The following is a 17,185-nucleotide window of genomic DNA, read 5'->3' as shown; positions in this document are numbered from 1 at the left end:
GTGGTGCCTCACACCTGTTACCCAGCATTTTGGGAGGCCATCACTTGAGATCAGGAGTTCGAGACCAGCTTAGCCAACATGGTGAAACCCCATCTCTACAAAAGTAGCTGGGTGTGGTGGCGTGCGCTTGTAGTCCCAGCTACTAGGGAGACTGAGGCAGGAGAATCACTTGAACCCGGGAGGCAGAGGTTGCAGCGAGCCATTGCGCCATGCACTCCAGGCTGGGTGACTGACTGAGATTCTGACTCAAAAAAAAAAAAAAATCCTATGACAAGGAGAAAGGTCAGATTCCCTGGCAATGGGAGCTGAGGCATGTTCTTGAGAAGGAGGGAGGTTATAAATTAGATGGGGCTGGGTCTCAGAGAGATATAGCTACTTACATATTAAATAATGAGGCTGAGTGTGGCGTCTCACACCTATAGTCCCAGTACTTTGGGAAGCAGAGGCAGGAGGATCCCTTGAGCCTAGGAGTTTGAAACCAGCCTGGGCAACATAGGGAGATTCCATCCCTACCAAAAAAAAAATTAAAAATTAGCCAGGCATAGTGGCCTGCATCTGTGGTCCTAGCTGCTTGGGAGGCTGAGGTGGGAGGATTGCTTGAACCTGGGAGGTCAAGGTACAGTGAGCCACGATTGCACCACTGCACTCCAGCCTGGGTGACAGAGCAAGACCTTGTCTCAAAAAAAGTAATTAATTTATTTATTCAATACGTAGCTCCTGAGACAAAATGTGTGCCGTACTCTAGACCCTGCTGGTGTGCACAATTCATGGGGGATATGTGCGCTAATGGAAGTGTGGCACAGGGCAAGGGTGTCCCCAGAGAAAGCCCTAATCCAGCTTTATGGGTGGTTGTATGAGGCACAGAAGCCTTTCCTGGTTAAGGGATAAATGGATGGGGTTTCAAAGGATGAATAGGAGTTTGCCAAGGACAATGAAGCAAAGATTGACATTCTAAGCATTGGGAGTGTCCTATGCAAAATCCCAAAGTGATGTAGTAGCAAATACTTAAGCACCTACAGTGTGCCAAGCATGTTTCATGTGCTGGAGATACAGAGGAGGAGGAGACAGATGAAACCCCAGCCCTTGTGATATTGTCATCCTAGTAGGTGTGGTGGGGAGATAAACAAGTAGACACCTGCATGAATAAGACTTTCAGATTGTGGTAAACCCTGTGGAGGAAACGAAACAGGTGAAGGAACGGCGTGACTAGGAGCAGGCAGGTGCGGCTGCTTCAGGTAGGGTGGTCAGGGAAGGAGGCGGCATCTGAGCTTTGACCTCAATTTCGAGAATGAGCCAGGAATGCAGAGAGGATTTCAGGCAGAGGAAACCTTAGGGAGGCTGGCGGGTTAAATCTGCAGGGGTGTGGCTGGCCGGAGGAAGTGAGGTGTGAGACAGTCACGTTGATGGTGACAGCAGCAGTGACCGTAGCAGCCTAGAGGTGGCCGAATGCTTACTCTAATGGGCTGGCCCATCCCTGAGTGTCTAGAGTTCCCAGCCCGCTTAAGGAAGGAAGGAAAACACAGGCAGCTCTAAGTGTACGACGAGGGAGGTCTCATCGGCGGTGAGGAAGCCCAGGCGGGTCCCCTTCCCAGCTGAAAGGGGTTCGGGTAGGTTTTTCCTGGGCGTTCCTCTGAGAACAGCCAGCCCTGGTGAGAGTGCGGGGAGAGGCGCTTATGACACAGGGAGGGTGGGTCTGGGAACCAGCCTGGCAGGAGGAGGAGGGAGACTGCCGGTGGCCGGGAGCTGTTTGTTCTCTGGGAGGGATCGTGGCGGGGTGGTTTGTGCAGCCCTTTCCTGAAACCGGAGGAGCCTGGCTCCTTCCCAGGTCTCTGGGGGATGGGTCGGGGCGGGGGGTGGTGACGGGGATAGGACCCCAGACAGACTTGAGTTTGGATCCTGGGTTGGAGCCGGTGACTTCACTCTCAGCTCCCTGAACATCAGGGCCTGCCTTTCTTCCCTCCCTTCCCCTCCCCTCCCCTCCCCTTCCTTCCTTCCTTCCTTCCTTCCTTCCTTCCTTCCTTCCTTCCTTCCCTTCCTTTCCCTTCCCTCCCTCCCTTTATTCTTTTCTTTTTTTCTTTTCTTTTCTTTCTTTCTTGACAGAGTCTTGCTCTGTCGCCCAGGCTGGAGTGCAGTGGCGCGATCTCGGCTCACTGCAAGCTCCGCCTCCCGGGTTCACGCCATTCTCCTGCCTCAGCCTCCCGAGTAGCTGGGACTACAGGCACCCGCCACCGTGCCTGGCTAATTTTTTTGTATTTTTAATAGAGACGGGGTTTCACTGTGTTAGCCAGGATGGTCTCGATCTCCTGACCTCGTGATCTGCATGCCTCGGCCTCCCAAAGTGCTGGGATTACAGGCCTGAGCCACAGTGCCCGGCCTCCTCTTTCTTTTTTTGAGACAGAATCTCACTCTGTCACCCAGGCTGGAGTGCAGAGGTGTGGTCTCGGCTCACTGCAACTTCCGCCTCCCAGGCTCAAGCGATTCTCCTGCCTCAGCCTTCCGAGTAGCTGGGACTACAGGCGCGTGCCACCATGCCCAGCTAATTTTTTGGTACTTGTAGTAGAGACAGGGTTTCACCATGTTGGCCAGGCTGGTTTCAAACCCCTAATCTCCAGTGATCTGCCTGCCTTGGCCTCTCAAAGTGCTGGGATTAAAGGCGTGAGCTACCGTGCCAGGCCGTGGAGTAGCTAAACTTATCTTACACTGCTGAGGTCTCTCAAGATGTGTGTAGGGAGAGAGAGTTGGGGGGAGAGAGAGAGACAAAGGAAAAGAGGAAGAGAGAGACAGGGAGAAAGAGAGGAAGAAAGAGAAAGAGAGAAACAGGAAGAGTGAGAGGAGAAAGAGAGGAAGGGGGAGAGAAAGAGAGATGGGGGAGAAAGAGAGAGAGAGAAGGAGACACAGGAGGGGGAGAGAAAGAGGGAGAGAGCAATGAGAGAGATATGAGACAGAGAAGAGAGAGAGAGGAGACACGGAGGAGGGGGACAGAAAGAGGGAGACAGAGAGATGAGAGAGAGAAAAGACACAGATGAGGGGGAGAGAAAGAGGGAGAGAGAGATGAGAGAGAGATTGATAGCACCCAGCTAATCAATCAGTGGCTTTAGTGCCATGAGCTGGAAGGGAGGAATGGATACTGGGGAACAGTTGGTTGACTTTCCCTGGTGGGACAGCCCCTCTTTCTAGAACTACCTTTCCTATGTCCCCTGTGCTTCTCTCCAGTCCATACTCTACATCTCAGCCAGAAAAGAAGAAATTCTAAAACATGTATCTGCCCGTGACATGACCCTCCTTGGCTCAACACTCTTCAGCGGTACCCAGCGCCCTCTGAGTCAACGCCAAGCTTCCTACCATGGCATTGGAGCCGCGCTCTGGGTCCTTTTACTGATGGCTCCCGCCTCAGCCCTTCCACCCCCTCCCATACCCTGCATGCCAGCCCAGGCAGCCCTCCCTCCTCCCACAATATCTCTCATATGCATTCCTGTCCCATGCCTTCTGCTTAAGCTGTTCCCACAGCCCGGAGTCTCCTCCCTGGCTGAGGGAAATCTTGCCGGCTCACATGGCCGTGATCCCCATCATTTCCTGCAGAAAGCTTGCCCAGCTCTCCGACACGGGGACCTTCTGCCCCTCCTGAGCCCTGAGTCCCCTCCATCTTAACTGGGAGGTCACCTGTTTGCGTGGTGTCTGCTCAGCTTGCAGGCAAGGCCACCAACACCCTCCTTTCCTGTCTTTCCTTCCTACCATCCTCTCCTGTCCACCCTCTGCCTCTCCCTCCCTTCTTCTCTTCTTTCCTTCTAGTTACTGAGCCATGCATGTGTTGCATGCAGCAAGGATGAATAAAATAAAATAAACCTACAGCAATCATTCCAGTTACTATGGCCATATAACAAATTATTCTAAAACTCAGTGGCTTCAGACAAGGATCATATCTATTTTACTCAAAAACCTACCATCTGCACAGGCCTTGGTGGAGGCAGCTTATCTGTGTGCCCTTTGGTGATGGCTGGGGCTGTCAAGAAGCTGGGGCAGTGCTTGGGCTGCAAAGACTCAAATGGCTGGAGTCTGGGACCACTGGAGCTCCTTGCCCCCCTTTGCTTATCTCTACACAGCCACAGGGTCGCTAAACTTACCTTACACTGCTGAGGCCTCTTAAGATGTGTGTAGGGAAAGAGAGTTGGGGGGAGAGGGAGAGAGAGAACAGAGAGAGAGAGACACACACAAGAAGAGAGAGAGGAAGAAAGAAGGAGAGAGAGGAAGAGGAAGGGAGAGGAAGAGAGAGAGAAAGAGAAAGAGGGAGAGAGAGAGGAGAGAAAGAGACAAGAAGAGAGGAAGAAAAAAGAGGAAGAGAGGGATAGAGGAAGACAGAAGGAGGGAGAGGGAGAGAGGAAGAGAGAGGAAAGAGAAAGGAAGGGAAAGAGAGATGTGAGAGAGAGGGAGAGAGAGAGAGAAAAGAGGACAGAGGAAGAGAGAGAGGAAGAGAGAGGGAGAGAGAGGGAGAGAAGACAGAGAGGGAGAGAGGAAGAGAAAAGGAGACAGAGAGAGGAGAGATAGAGAAGAACGAGAAAGGAGAGACAGAATGTGAATGAGAATTGGGTGCCATAAACCCTCTGATGGGGAAAGCAAAGGGCATTGTGGGAGAATCCTCTCAGCACCTGGGACAGCACCCAGTGCTGATCAGGAACATGTTAACAACCAGGAAAATGGTAAAGGCGTGGACAGCCCACCTGGAGTCCAAACAGATGTTCTAACTCCCTTGGGTGTGTCTGGGAATCAGGTAGGAGATCCTCAGAGGAGGAATATGCATGCATTGTTCTCTTTATAATAACCATATTAACAGCCAGCAATGTTCTGGCACTTACTATGGATTAAGTCCTTGTTATGAATGACTTCATGCCATCCTTCCAAATTCAATGACAGGTAGCTGGGCGCAGTGGCTCACGCTTTGTAATCCCAGCACTTTGGGAGGCTGAGGCAGGTGGATCACCTGAAGCCTGGAGTTCAAAACCAGCCTGGCCAACATGGTGAAACCCCGTCTCTACTAAAAATACAAAAATCAGCCAGGTGTGGCGGCGAGCGCCTGTAATCCCAGCTACTCATGAGGCTGAGGCAGGAGAATCGCTTGAACCCAGGAGGCAGAGGTTGCAGTGAGCTGAGATTGCATCACTGCGCTCCAGCCTGGGCATCGGAGAGAGACTCTCAAACAGGAGCTGGCGAACTGTGGCGCACTGCTTATTTTTATAAATAAAGTTTTATGGGAACACAGCTGTGCTCACTTGTTTTCACATCATCTGTGGCTGCTTCCCAGCTCCTCTGGCAGAGGAGGTGCAACAGCCACTGTGTGGATCACAAAGCTGAAATTATTTACTATCTGGCTGTTTGTAGAAAAAGTTTGCTGATCTCTGTCCTGGAAGTCAATGATATTAGGATTTCAGTTTACAGAAAAGGAGAAAAAGACAGGGAAAAACAGTGTTGTTTTTTTTTCAAGGTTGAGAAAATGAACATCTGAACCAATTGCCCATGTTATTAAATGTAAACATTTATTATTATTATTTTTGAGATGGGGTCTTGCTCTGTCACCCAGCCTGGGGTGCAGTGGCACAATCACAGCTCATCATAGCCTTGACCTCCTGGGCTCAAGCAGACCTCCCACCTCAGCCTCCCAAGTAGCTGAGGGTGCAGATGCGTGCCACCAAACCTGCTAATTTTTGTATTTTTTGTAGAGATAAGGTTTTGCCGTGTTGTCCAGGCCGCTCTCAAACTCCTGGGCTCATACTATTCTCCACTTTGGCCTCCCAAAGTGCTGGGATTACAGGCATGAGCCACCATGCCCAGTCTAAAATTTTTCTTTATTTTTAGTTTGGTAAACTATGCATAAAGTAAAATGTACCATCTTAACCATTTTAAGTGTACAATTCAGTGATGTTAAGTATATTCACATTGTTGTGCAACCATCACCACCGTCCACCTTCAGGTCTTTTTTTTATTTTGCAAAACAAACTCTGTATCTATTAAAAAACAGCTTCCCGGCCGGGTGCGGTGGCTCATGCCTGTAATCCCAGCACTTTGGGTGGCCGAGGCAGGTGGATCACCTGAGGTCAGGAGTTTGAGACCAACCTGGCCAACATGGTGAAACCCCGTCTCTACTAAAAATACAAAAATTAGCCGGGTGTGGTGACACGTGCCTGTAGCCCCAGCTACTCGGGAGGCTGAGGCAGGAGAATCGCTTGAACCTAGGAGGCAGAGGTTGCAGTGAGCTGAGATCGCCCACTGCTCTCCAGCCTGGGTGACACAGTGAGACTGTCTCTCAAAAAACAAAACAAAACAAACAAACAAACAAAAACAAATCCTGTGACTTCCCAATCTCATCTCCAGCCCCCTGCAGCCACCACTCTGTTTTCTGTCTCTATGAATTTGACTCCTCCAAGTGCCTCTTATACAGCATTTGGCATTGTGTAACTGGTTTAATACGTTTGAGATGGTGAGAGCTTAAGGTCTACAGGCCTAAGGTTTTTTTTTTTTTGACAGAATTTCACTCTGTCGCCAGGCTGGAATGCAGTAGGGCAATCTCGGCTCACTGCAACCTCCACCTCCCGAGTTCAAGTGATGCTCCTGCTTCGGCCTCCTGAGTAGCTGGGACTACAGGTGAGTGCCACCACATCCAGCTAATTTTTGTATTTTTAGTAGAGACAGGGTTTCACCATGTTGGCCAGGCTGGTATCAATCTCCTGACCTCGTGATCCATCTGTCTCGGCCTCCCAAAGTGCTGGGATTACAGGCGTGAGCCACCGTGCCCGGCCATTGACTAAGGTCTTAAAATAGCTCTTCCTGCCTGTATAATCTCCATTATGGCAGGGCTCATATAAGAAGATGACAGTTCATCTGATGAGGAAGAAAACTTACTCCTAGTTAGATTGGGTTGAATTCTTCCCTGTTTCCAGCGGTGTCTGCTCCTGGCACCTCAGGCACAGTCAGGGGTAGGAGGTGGTGATCAGATACACTCGCTGTGAGCAGTGCAAGGGGAAGCAGGTGCCCAGAGGTGCATCCCGGTTTGGTGGGGGTGACAAACATGGACAGGTAAGTGCAGGAGTGTGTGCAATACTCAATCTAAGAAAGGTAGTTCAGGCAGAGTTCAGGGAAGATATCTCTGTGCAGGGCCAGACATGGGGATGAGATTCTGATAATTTGGGAATGAATCAGGCCCCCAGCCCCTCCTCCCTCAGACTCAGCAGTCCAGGCACCCGGCCCTCCTCCCTCGGACCCAGAAGTCCATGCTCCCAGCCCCTCCTCCCTTGGACCCAGGAGTCCAGGCCCCCAGCCCCTCCTCCCTCAGACCCAGGAGTCCAGGCCCCCAGCCGCCTTCTCCTGCAGGACCCCAGGAGCTTGGGTACCCACAGGCTACTAGATCCTTGTTTCTGTGCATGGAAATTCTCAAATTATCTCCAAAAGTCTATGAAGAAGGTAAACACACATTTCCAGATGAGGGAATAGGCTGATATAGTTGAAAGACACACAGAGGGTCACAGTCTGGAATTGACAGTGGTGGGATTCGAACCTATTTCACTCCAGAACTGCGTAGCGCCTTATACGCTGCGGCAAGTGTGACGTCATTCGAACAAACCATAGGCCCCGCCCCCGGACTAGCCACGCCCACAGGCTCCTGAAACCACCAATCCCAGCTGTGACAGCGCTCAGGACCGATGCTCATAGGTCCCGTCCCTAGGATCCCCGCCCCCTCCGCCCGCGCCCCGCCCCTCGCAGCCCAGTTCCGGACGCGGGCCCAGCCGCGCCTGCGCCTCCGCTCGCCTGTGGCTGCGTCGCGCGCTCTTCCTCGGAGCTACCCAGGCGGCTGGTGTGCAGCAAGCTCCGCGCCGACCCCTGACGCCTGACGCCTGTCCCCGGCCCGGCATGAGCCGCTACCTGCTGCCGCTGTCGGCGCTGGGCACGGTAGCAGGCGCCGCCGTGCTGCTCAAGTGAGTACATTCTAGCCCCGCGTGCGCGGTCAAGGCGGGCCCCCAGCGCAGGGGCCGGGAAGGCGGCGGAGACCCCCGCCCCTCGCACCCGGGTCCAGGCCCCGTAGCTCCCGACCCGCAGTGCCCGCCCGGAGTGGGGCAAACCTGCGCTCTGGCCGGCCAGGTCACCGGCCCAAGGTCACTCGGAGGGAAGGGCGAGCCTGGGCCCTTGTAAATGTTGCTTTCCTTCCAGACTTTTAAACTCTTTATTTTGTTGTTTTGTATTATTTATTTGTTCGTTTATTTTTAAAGGCAGAATCTGGCTCTGTCGCCCAGGCTGGAGTGCAGTGGCGCGATCTTGGCTCACTGCAGCCTTGACCTCCTGGGCTCAGGTGATCCTCCCACCTTGGCGTCCCCAGGAGCTGAGATCACACGTGCGCCACCACGCCCGGCTAATTTTTGTATTTTTCGCAGAGACGGGGTTTTGCCATGTTGGCCAGGCTGGTCTCAAACACCTGCCCTCAGGTGATCCGCCTGCCTCGGCCTCCAAAGTGCTGGGATTACAGACGTGAGCCACCTCGCCCAGCCTACTTAATTTAAACTTTCTTAAAAATTAGCCTCTGTGGCTGGTGGCCACTGTATTGCATGGTGCCCTTCTCTCCTGTGGGTGCAGTGCTGTTTACCTGCTCAGCCTCCTGTTGCTGGACACTATCTTGTTGCCAGCGTTAGCCTCTGTGGGACATGGGTGTGGTGGGCAGAGTCGTGACTCCGTAGAGGGGTCCACGTCCTAATCCTCGGAAGGTGTGACGACATTACCTCACGTGTCAGAGGTTCTCGCTGATGTGTTAAGTGAAGCATCTTTTTTTTTTTTGAGACAGAGTTTCGCTGTTGTTGCCCAGGCTGGAGTGCAATGGCACGACCTCGGCTCACCACAACCTCCACCTCCCGGGTTCAAGCGATTGTCCGGCCTCAGCCTCCTGAGTAGCTGGGATTACAGGCATGTGCCACCACGCCTGTCTAATTTTGTATTTTTAGTAGAGACGAGGTTTCTCCATGTTGGTCAGGCTGGTCTTGAGCTCCCGACCAAAGGGGATCTGGCCACCTTGGCCTCCCAAAGTGCTGGGGTTACAGGCGTGAGCCACCGTGCCCGGCCAAGTGAAGGATCTTATGATTATCATGTAGTCTTTTTTTTTTTTTGGAGACAGGGTCTCTCTGTCACCCAGGCTGGAGTGCAGTCATGCTGTCACAGCTCACTGCAGCCTCACCCTCCCTGGGCTCAGGTGGTCCTCCCACTTCAGCCTCCCGAGTAGCTGACTCTACAGGCGTGCACCACCAAGCCCTGCTAATTTTTGTATTTTTAGTAGAGATGGGGTGTCAGCATGTTGGCCATGGCTGGTCTCGAACTCCTGACCTCAAGTGATCCTCCTGTCTTGGCCTCCCAAAGTGCTGGGATTACAGGTGTGAGGCACTGTGCCGGTCCTGCCTTGTAGTCTTATAGGGTCCTTATAAGAGGGAGCAGGAGGCTCAGTCAGAGGGGAGATGGAAGATAGAAGGAGAGGTTGTTGGGTGTGGTGGCTCACGCCTGTAATCGCAGCACTTTGGGAGGCCAAGGCAGGCGGATCACAAGGTCAGGAGTTCGAGACCAGCCTGACCAACGTGGTAAAACTCTGTCTCTACTAAAAATACAAAAGAAATTAGCCAGGTGTGGTGGCATGTGCCTGTAATCCCAGCCACTCAGGAGGCTAAGGCAGGAGAATCGCTTGAACCTGTGAGGCGAAGGTTACAGTGAGCTGAGATTGAGCCACTGCACTCCAGCCTGGGCGACAGAGCGAGACTCTGTCTCAAAAATAAATAAGTAAATAAATAAATAAATAAAGGAGAGGTTCCAGTGAGGATGCAGGTTGAAGATGGAGGCGGGGCCAAGAGTGGAGGAATGTGGCGGTCTGTAGGAGCTGGAAGTGGATTCTTCCCTAGAGCCTCCAGAAGGAACCTGACTCTACCAATACCTTGATTTATTCCAGTGAGACATGTTTTGGACTCTTGACCTGCCGAACTGGAGGAGGATGCACTTATGTGGTTTTAAGCCACTAAGTCTGTGGTAATGCGTACAGCAGCCTTGGGAATCTCGTGCAGCGGGCATTTTAAATTTAAATTTAAATTTTTTTGAGACAGAGTCTCGCTCTGTTGCCCAGGCTGGCACCATTTCGACTCACTGCAACCTCCGCCTTCCAGGTTCAAGCAATTCTCGTGCCTCAGCCCCCTGAGTAGCTGAGATTACAGGTGTGCACCACCACGCCTGTGAAGGGGTGGCCTGCCCCTCCACACCTGTGGGTATTTCTAGTTGGGTGGGACGAGAGACTGAGAAAAGAAATAAGACACAAAGTATAGAGAAACAACAGTGGGCCCAGGGGACCGGCGCTCAGCATACCAAGGACCTGCACCGGCACCGGCCTCTGAGTTCCCTCAGTTTTTACTGATTATTATCTTCATTATTTCAGCAAAAAGGAATGTAGTAGGAGAGCAGGGTGATAATGAGGTCAGCAAAAACCATGTGAGCAAAAGAATCTATGACATAATTAAGTTCAAGGGAAGGTACTATGCCTGGACGTGCACGTAGGCCAGATTGATGTTTCTCTCCACCCAAACATCTCAGCGGAGTAAAGAATAACAAGGCAGCATTGCTGTAAACATGTCTCGCCTCCCGCCATAGGGCGGCTTTTCTCCTGTCTCAGAATTGAACAAATGTACAATCAGGTTTTATACCGAGACATTCAGTTCCCAGGGTCAGGCAGGAGACAGTGGCCTTCCTCTCTCTCAACTGCAAGAGGCTTTCCTCTTTTACCAATCCACCTCAGCACAGACCCTTTACGGGTGTTGGGCTGGGGGACGGTCAGGTCTTTCTCATCCCACGAGGCCATATTTCAGACTATCCCACGGGGAGAAACCTTGGACAATACTCTGTGTTCAAGGGCAGAGGTCCCTGCAGCTTTCTGCAGTGCATCGTGCCCCTGGTTTATTGAGACTAGAGACTGGCGATGACTTTTACCAAGTATACTGCTTGGAAACATTGTGTTAACAAGGCACTTCCTGCACAGCCCTAGATCCCTTAAACCTTGATTTCATACAACACAGGTTTTTGTGAGCTCCAGATTGGGTCAAAGTGGCTGGGTCAAAGCTACAAATTAACAACATCTCAGCAAAGCAATTGTTCAAAGTACAGGTCTTTTTCAAAATGGAGTCTCTTATGTCTTTCCTTTCTATATAGACACAGTAACAGTCTAATCTCTCTTTTCCCTACACATCTGGCTAATTTTTGTATTTTAAGTAGAGACGGGGTCTCGCCATGTTTGCCAGGCTGGACTCGAACTCCTGACCTCAAGTGATCCGCCCCCGCCCCCCCCCACCCCCAAAACTTTGGCCTCCCAAAGTGCTGGGATTACAGGTGCAAGCCCCCTCACCTGGCCGGGAATCTCATGCAGTGAGCATTTATAAAATAATGACTGTCACTTGCTGAAGGCGTTCCACACGCCAGACACTGGGTGGAGCCACTTATGGAGAACATGACAGAGGTCCCTTGGTGTGATGTGATGATGTCTGTGTTTCAGTTGGGGTATGTGAGTGAGCTCAGACAAGGTTGCCTGAGATCATTCAGTCAGGGGCACGTGGGGTGAGAGTGGGCCCACAGGACTGACCGTGCCGCTTCTCACCCTCAGGGACTATGTCACCGGTGGGGCTTGCCCCAGCAAGGCCACCATCCCTGGGAAGACGGTCATCGTGACGGGTGCCAACACAGGCATCGGGAAGCAGACCGCCTTGGAACTGGCCAGGAGAGGTAAAATCTCCCCTGCTTTGGCTCTCAGAGAGATATCTGTACATCCATGCTCACTGCAGCATTATTCACAGTCCGGAGGTGGAAGGAACCCAGGCACCCATCCACAGATGAACAGGGAAACAGAATGTGGCTTCTATAGACAGGGGCATATGATTCAGCCTTAAAAAGGAAGGGCATTCTGGCCGGGCGCGGTGGTGCACGCCTGTAATCAGTACTTTGGGAGGCCAAAGCTGGCGGATCACGAGGTCAGGAGTTCGAGACCAGCCTAACCAACATGGTGAAACCCCCTCTCTACTAAAAATACAAAAATTAGCCAGGAGTTGTGGTGGGCACCTGTAGTCCCAGCTGCTTGGGAGGCTGAAGCAGGAGAATCGCTTGAACCTGAGAGGCAGGGGTTGCAGTGAGCAGAGATGGCGCCACGGCACTCCAGCCTGGGTGACAGAGTGAGACTCAAAAACAAAACAAAACAAAGCAAAACAAAAAAAAGGGCATTGAAACAGATGAACCTTGAGGACATTCCATGAAGTGAAATAAGCCAGTCGACAGAAGAGCAAATACGGTATGATTCCACTTACAGGAGCTACCTACAGTTAAATTCATAGAGAAGTTGGAATGGTGCTTGCCAGGGGTCAGGAGGGGAGGGGAGAATGGGGAGTTACTGTTTAATGGAAACGGAAGTTTAGTTTGGCAAGATGAAACAATTTGAGAGATGGATGGTTGTAATGGTTGCACAACATTAGGAATTATTATTATTGTTTTTTTTTTTTTGAGATGGAGTTTTGCTCTTGTCGCCCAGGCTGGAGTGCAGTGGCATGATCTTGGCTCACTGCAACCTTCGCCTCCCGGGTTCAAGCAATTCTCCTGCCTCAGCCACCCGAGTAGCTGGGATTACAGGCATGCAACACCACACCCAGCTAAGTTTGTAATGTGTTGGCCAGGCTGGTCTTGAACTCCTGACCTCAGGTGATCCACCTGCCTTGGTCTCCCAAAGTGCTGGGATTACAGGTGTGAGCCACCATGCCCGGCCCAGCCATAAATGTTTTTAATACCAATGAACTGGACACTTAAAAATGGCTAAGAGGGCGGGTCTCGGTGGCTCACATCTATAATTCCAGCACTTTTGGAGGCTGAGGCAGGAGGATCACTTGAGGCCAGGGGTTCCAGACCAGCCTGGACACCATAGCAACACCCCCATCTCTACCAGAGTTAGCCAGGCATGCTGGCACAGGTGGTACCTATAGTCCCAGGTCACTTGAGCCTAGGAGTTCAAGGCTGAATGAGCTGTGATGGCGCCAGCACTCCAGCCGCGGCAGCAGAGTGAGACTGACTCAAAAAAAAAAAAATAATAATAAACAAAAAGAAAAGGGGGTTAAGATGATAAATTTTAAGTGATTTGTATTTTACCACAACAAAAAAAATTGGAGGCTGGGCATTGTGGCTTATTTGTAATCCCAGTACTTTGGGAGGCCGCGGGGTGGATCACCTGAGGTCAGAAGTTCAAGACTAGCTTGGCTAACATGGTGAAACCGCTGTCTCTACTAAAAATAAAAAAATAAAAAATTAGCTAGTTGTGGTAGGTGCCTGTAATCCCAGCTACTCGGGAGGCTGAGGCAGGAGAATTGCTTGAACCCAGGAGGTGGAGGTTGCAGTGAGCCGAGATTGCGCCACCGCACTCCAGCCTGGGTGACAGAGTGAGACTCCATCTAAAAAAAAAAAAAAAAGGAGAGGATGGGGAATCCTCTTGCCTTGGCCTCCCAAAGTGCTGGAATTACAGGTGTGAGCCACCGTGCCCGACCAATTCAGTGATGTTTAGTATAGTCACAGAATGATGCAACCATCTTTAAAATCAATCTTAGAACATCTGTTACCCTAGAAAGAAACCTGCTCACTGTAACTATCAAGCTGTAATTCCCTCTCCCCACCCCCTGCCCTAGAAAACCAAGAATCTATTTTCTTTCTCTATGGATTTGCCTATTCTGGGCGTTTCATAGGTGTGAAATCATATACATAGAATTCATGTAAATGGGATTGTACGCTGTGTGGTCTTTCGTGTCTGGTTTCTTTCCCCGAGCACAGTGTTTCTGACGGTCATCCTTGCTGTAGCATGAGCCAGTGCTTCACTCCTTTTCACGGCCGTCTAATATTCCATCTCTATGGATGGACCACATTTTGTTGTCCCTTCATCCACAGATGGGCATTTGGTTGTTTCTACCTTTTGGCTTTTGTGAAGAATGCCGCAGTGAACATTGGTGGATGTGTTTTTGTGTAGACGTATGTTTTCATGTCTCTGGGGTCAGTACCCAGGAGTGGATTATTAATTTAAATCTTTTTCCATCCTGGGTTTTCAGGAGGCAACATCATCCTGGCCTGCCGAGACATGGAGAAGTGTGAGGCGGCAGCAAAGGACATCCGCGGGGAGACCCTCAATCACCATGTCAACGCCCGGCACCTGGACTTGGCTTCCCTCAAGTCTATCCGAGAGTTTGCAGCAAAGATCATTGAAGGTAGGAGAACGCTGGCCATGTGGGATGAGGACTGGGATAGGCGGCTCCCAGGGCCAGGCTCTGAGAAGTGAATGAAGCAAGCAAACTTTAGAGCAGAGTTTTGGCAAACTATGAGTTAGGGGCCAAGTCCAGTTGCTGCCTTTTTTTGTACAGCCTGCAAGCAACGACTTTATTTATTTATTACTACTGTTATTTTGAGAGGGAGTCTCACTCTGTCGGCCAGGCTGAGTGCAATGGCGCGATCTCGGCTCACTGTAACCTCTGCCTCCTGGGTTCAAGCGCGGACCTCAGCCTCCTGAGTAGCTGGGATTAAGATGCCTGCTACCATACCCTGCTAATTTTTGTATTTTTAGTAGAGACGGGGTTTCACCACGTTGGCCAGGCTGGTCTGGAACTCCTGACCTCAGGTGATTCTCCTGCCTCAGCCTCCCAGAGTGCTGGGATTACAGGCGTGGGCCACTGCGCCCGGCTGACTTTGTTTTGTTTGTTTGTTTTGAGACAGATGGGGTCTCGCTCTGTTGCCCAGGCTGGAGTGCAGTGGTGTGATCTTGCCTCACTGCAACCTCCGTCTCCCGATTTCAAATGATTCTCCTGCTTCAGCCTCCTGAGTAGCTGGGATTACAGGCACCCGCCACCGTGCCTGGCTAATTTTTTGTGTTTTAGGTAGAGACAGGGTTTCACCATGTTGGTCAGGCTGGTCTCGAACTCCTGACCTCAGGTGATCTGCTTCCCTTGGCCTCCCAAAGTGCTGGGATTACAGGTGTGAGCCACCGTGCCCTACCTGAATAATTAGTTTGTTTGAGACAGGATCCATCTCTGTCACCCAGGCTAGAGTGCAGTGGTGCAGTCATGGCTCACTGCAGTCTCAACCTGCTGGGCTCAAGGGATCCTCCCACTTCAGCCTCCCAAGTAGCTGGGAGTACAGGCATACGCCACCACACACAGCTAATTATTGTTTTATTGTTTTGTTTTGTTTTTAGAGCTGGGGTTTCACCATGTTGCTCAGGCTGGTCTCCAACTCCTGGGCTCAAGTGATCCACCCAGGTCAGCTTCCCACAGTGCTGGGATTACAGGCGTGAGCCACCGCACCTGACCTTATTAAGCATTTATTGATCAAGTGCCTTCCCCACCATGGTTAAAGAAATATGTGTTTGTTATGGGACATTTATAAAATACTGCAATGTAAAGAAGACAGAACTGGCTGGGCACAGTGGCTCACGCCTGTTAATCCCAGCACTTTGGGAGGCTGAGGCAGGTGGATCCCTTGAGGTCAGGAGTTCGAGACCAGCCTGGCCAACATGGTGAAACCCTGTCTCTACTAAAAATACAAAAATTAGCCAGGCGTGGTGGTGCACACCTGTAATCTCAGCTACTCAGGGTGCTGAGGCAGGAGAATTGCTTGAACCCAGGAGGCGGAGGTTGCAGTGAGCTGAGATTGTGCCAGTGCACTCCAGCCTGGGTGACAGAGTGAGACTCTGTCTCAATAAAAAAGAAGACAGAACTAAACAACTTTGATCTGCACCAGCCCCAGGAGAATCACTTTTATGGATCTTTCTAGTCTTGTTTATAATAGGTTTGTGTGTGTATTTATATATTTTTATGTAAAACTGGGACCATCCTCTAGCTTTTCTATTCTTGTTCATCTTTAAATAGACTCAAGAATACACTAAAATTATTTATTGTTTAGTTGACATGTATACTTGTATATATTATGTACAGCATGATGTACATTGTATACATTGTAGAATGGCTAAATCAAGCTAATTAACATATGCATTACCTCAAATACTTACCTGTTTTTGTGGTGACCACATTTAAAATCTCTTCTCTTAGGATTGCTTGAGCTCAGGAGTTAGAGACCAGCCTAGGAAGCATAGTGAGACCTTGTGTGTACCAAAGATTAAAAAAAAAAAAAAATTAGCCGGGCATCCTGGCATGTGCCTACAGTCCCAGCTACTCAGGAGGCTGAGGCAAGAGGATCACTTGAGCCCGAGAGTTCAAGGCTGCAGTGAGCCGTATTTGTGCCACTGCACTCTAACCTGGATGACAGAGCAAGACCTTTTTTTTGAGATGGAGTCTTGCTCTGTCACCCAGGCTGGAGTGCAATGATGCGATCTTGGCTCACTGCAGCCTCCGCCTCCTGGGTTCAAGCGATTCTCCTGCCTCAGCCTCCCAAGACTATAGGCGGGTGCCACCATGCCCGGCTAATTTTTGTATTTTTAGTAGAGACGGGGTTTCACTATGTTGGCCAGGCTGGTCTCGAATTCCTGACCTTGTGATCCGCCTGCCTCAGCCTCCCAAAGTGCTGGGATTACAGGCATGAGCCACCATGCCCAGCTGCTTTGTTTCTTTTCTAGTCTGGCACTGAAAGGGCCAAAGCTTTCTTCTTCAGAGTCAATGTGCCCCGCTCAGTAAACGGGTACTCAGGAAATGAACAAGGAATGGGGGAGTTGTGGGACCTCATTTATTTAGCAGACGTGATCTCAGACCTGACCAGGTGCTGGAGGTGTGAGATGAACCAGAGCTGTCCTTGTGCCACTCACAGCCCTAGGGAGGCAGGTGCAGGTGCACATTCGTTGGTTCATTCATTCATTCATACTGAGCCCCTGCTGTGCCCTTGGGGATCAAGAAAGAGCCGGCACTGTTGTCGGGTAGGTGAGAGGCACTACGGTGAGATCACAAAGAACAGTGAGAGGGCAATGCCTCAGAGTCTCAGAGGTGGATGAACATTTATTAAGCACCTGCTGTGTACCAGGTACAGCACTGTCACCTTCATGCACACTGTCCCAGGCAATCCCACCCAGGGCGCCTCTGATCCTGTCTCTGGCTTGTGGACACAGGTGTCCGGAGCACTGAGGTCCCTGAGACAGTGAGGACCCCGGCTGGACACACCTGGGCAGGTGATGCCT

At 51.0% G+C, this 17,185-nt stretch overlaps 1 protein-coding gene across 6 annotated transcripts in view, besides 2 other annotated features; it reads left to right on the top strand.

Moving 5' to 3' along the window:
* Positions 1,409-17,185, top strand: part of RDH13 (retinol dehydrogenase 13) — a 30,418-nt gene continuing 14,641 nt past the window's right edge. For 5 of the 6 annotated variants that reach the window (XR_007066569.1, NR_027381.2, NR_027382.2 and 2 more), the window contains exons 1-3: positions 7,781-7,961; positions 11,654-11,772; positions 14,121-14,276. Coding sequence is in view for 3 of the 6 variants with exons in the window: in XM_011526408.4 (XP_011524710.1) it covers positions 7,897-7,961; positions 11,654-11,772; positions 14,121-14,276 (340 nt within the window). In the remaining 3 variants the exon portion in view is untranslated. Of the gene's footprint in view, positions 1,608-6,516; positions 6,634-7,780; positions 7,962-11,653; positions 11,773-14,120; positions 14,277-17,185 lie in introns of those variants that run through there. The other variant, NM_138412.4, reaches the window with a different exon arrangement.
* Positions 4,571-4,771: a silencer, noted in NCBI's record as "peak3563 fragment used in MPRA reporter construct". NCBI's record gives its function as "represses an SCP1 promoter by STARR-seq MPRAs in K562 erythroleukemia cells {active_cell/tissue: K562}" and the evidence as "EXISTENCE:reporter gene assay evidence [ECO:0000049][PMID:32103011]".
* Positions 8,471-9,438: an enhancer, noted in NCBI's record as "H3K27ac-H3K4me1 hESC enhancer chr19:55572859-55573826 (GRCh37/hg19 assembly coordinates)". NCBI's record gives its function as "activates a minimal SCP1, AML or CMV promoter by ChIP-STARR-seq in naive H9 embryonic stem cells {active_cell/tissue: H9 hESC(naive)}" and the evidence as "EXISTENCE:reporter gene assay evidence [ECO:0000049][PMID:30033119]".

Source organism: Homo sapiens, chromosome 19 (genome assembly GCF_000001405.40).
Source record: "Homo sapiens chromosome 19, GRCh38.p14 Primary Assembly".
Classification (NCBI taxonomy): domain Eukaryota; kingdom Metazoa; phylum Chordata; class Mammalia; order Primates; family Hominidae; genus Homo; species Homo sapiens.
The sequence above is the reverse complement of the archived record's forward strand: the minus strand, read 5'-3'. Positions and strand labels throughout refer to the sequence as shown.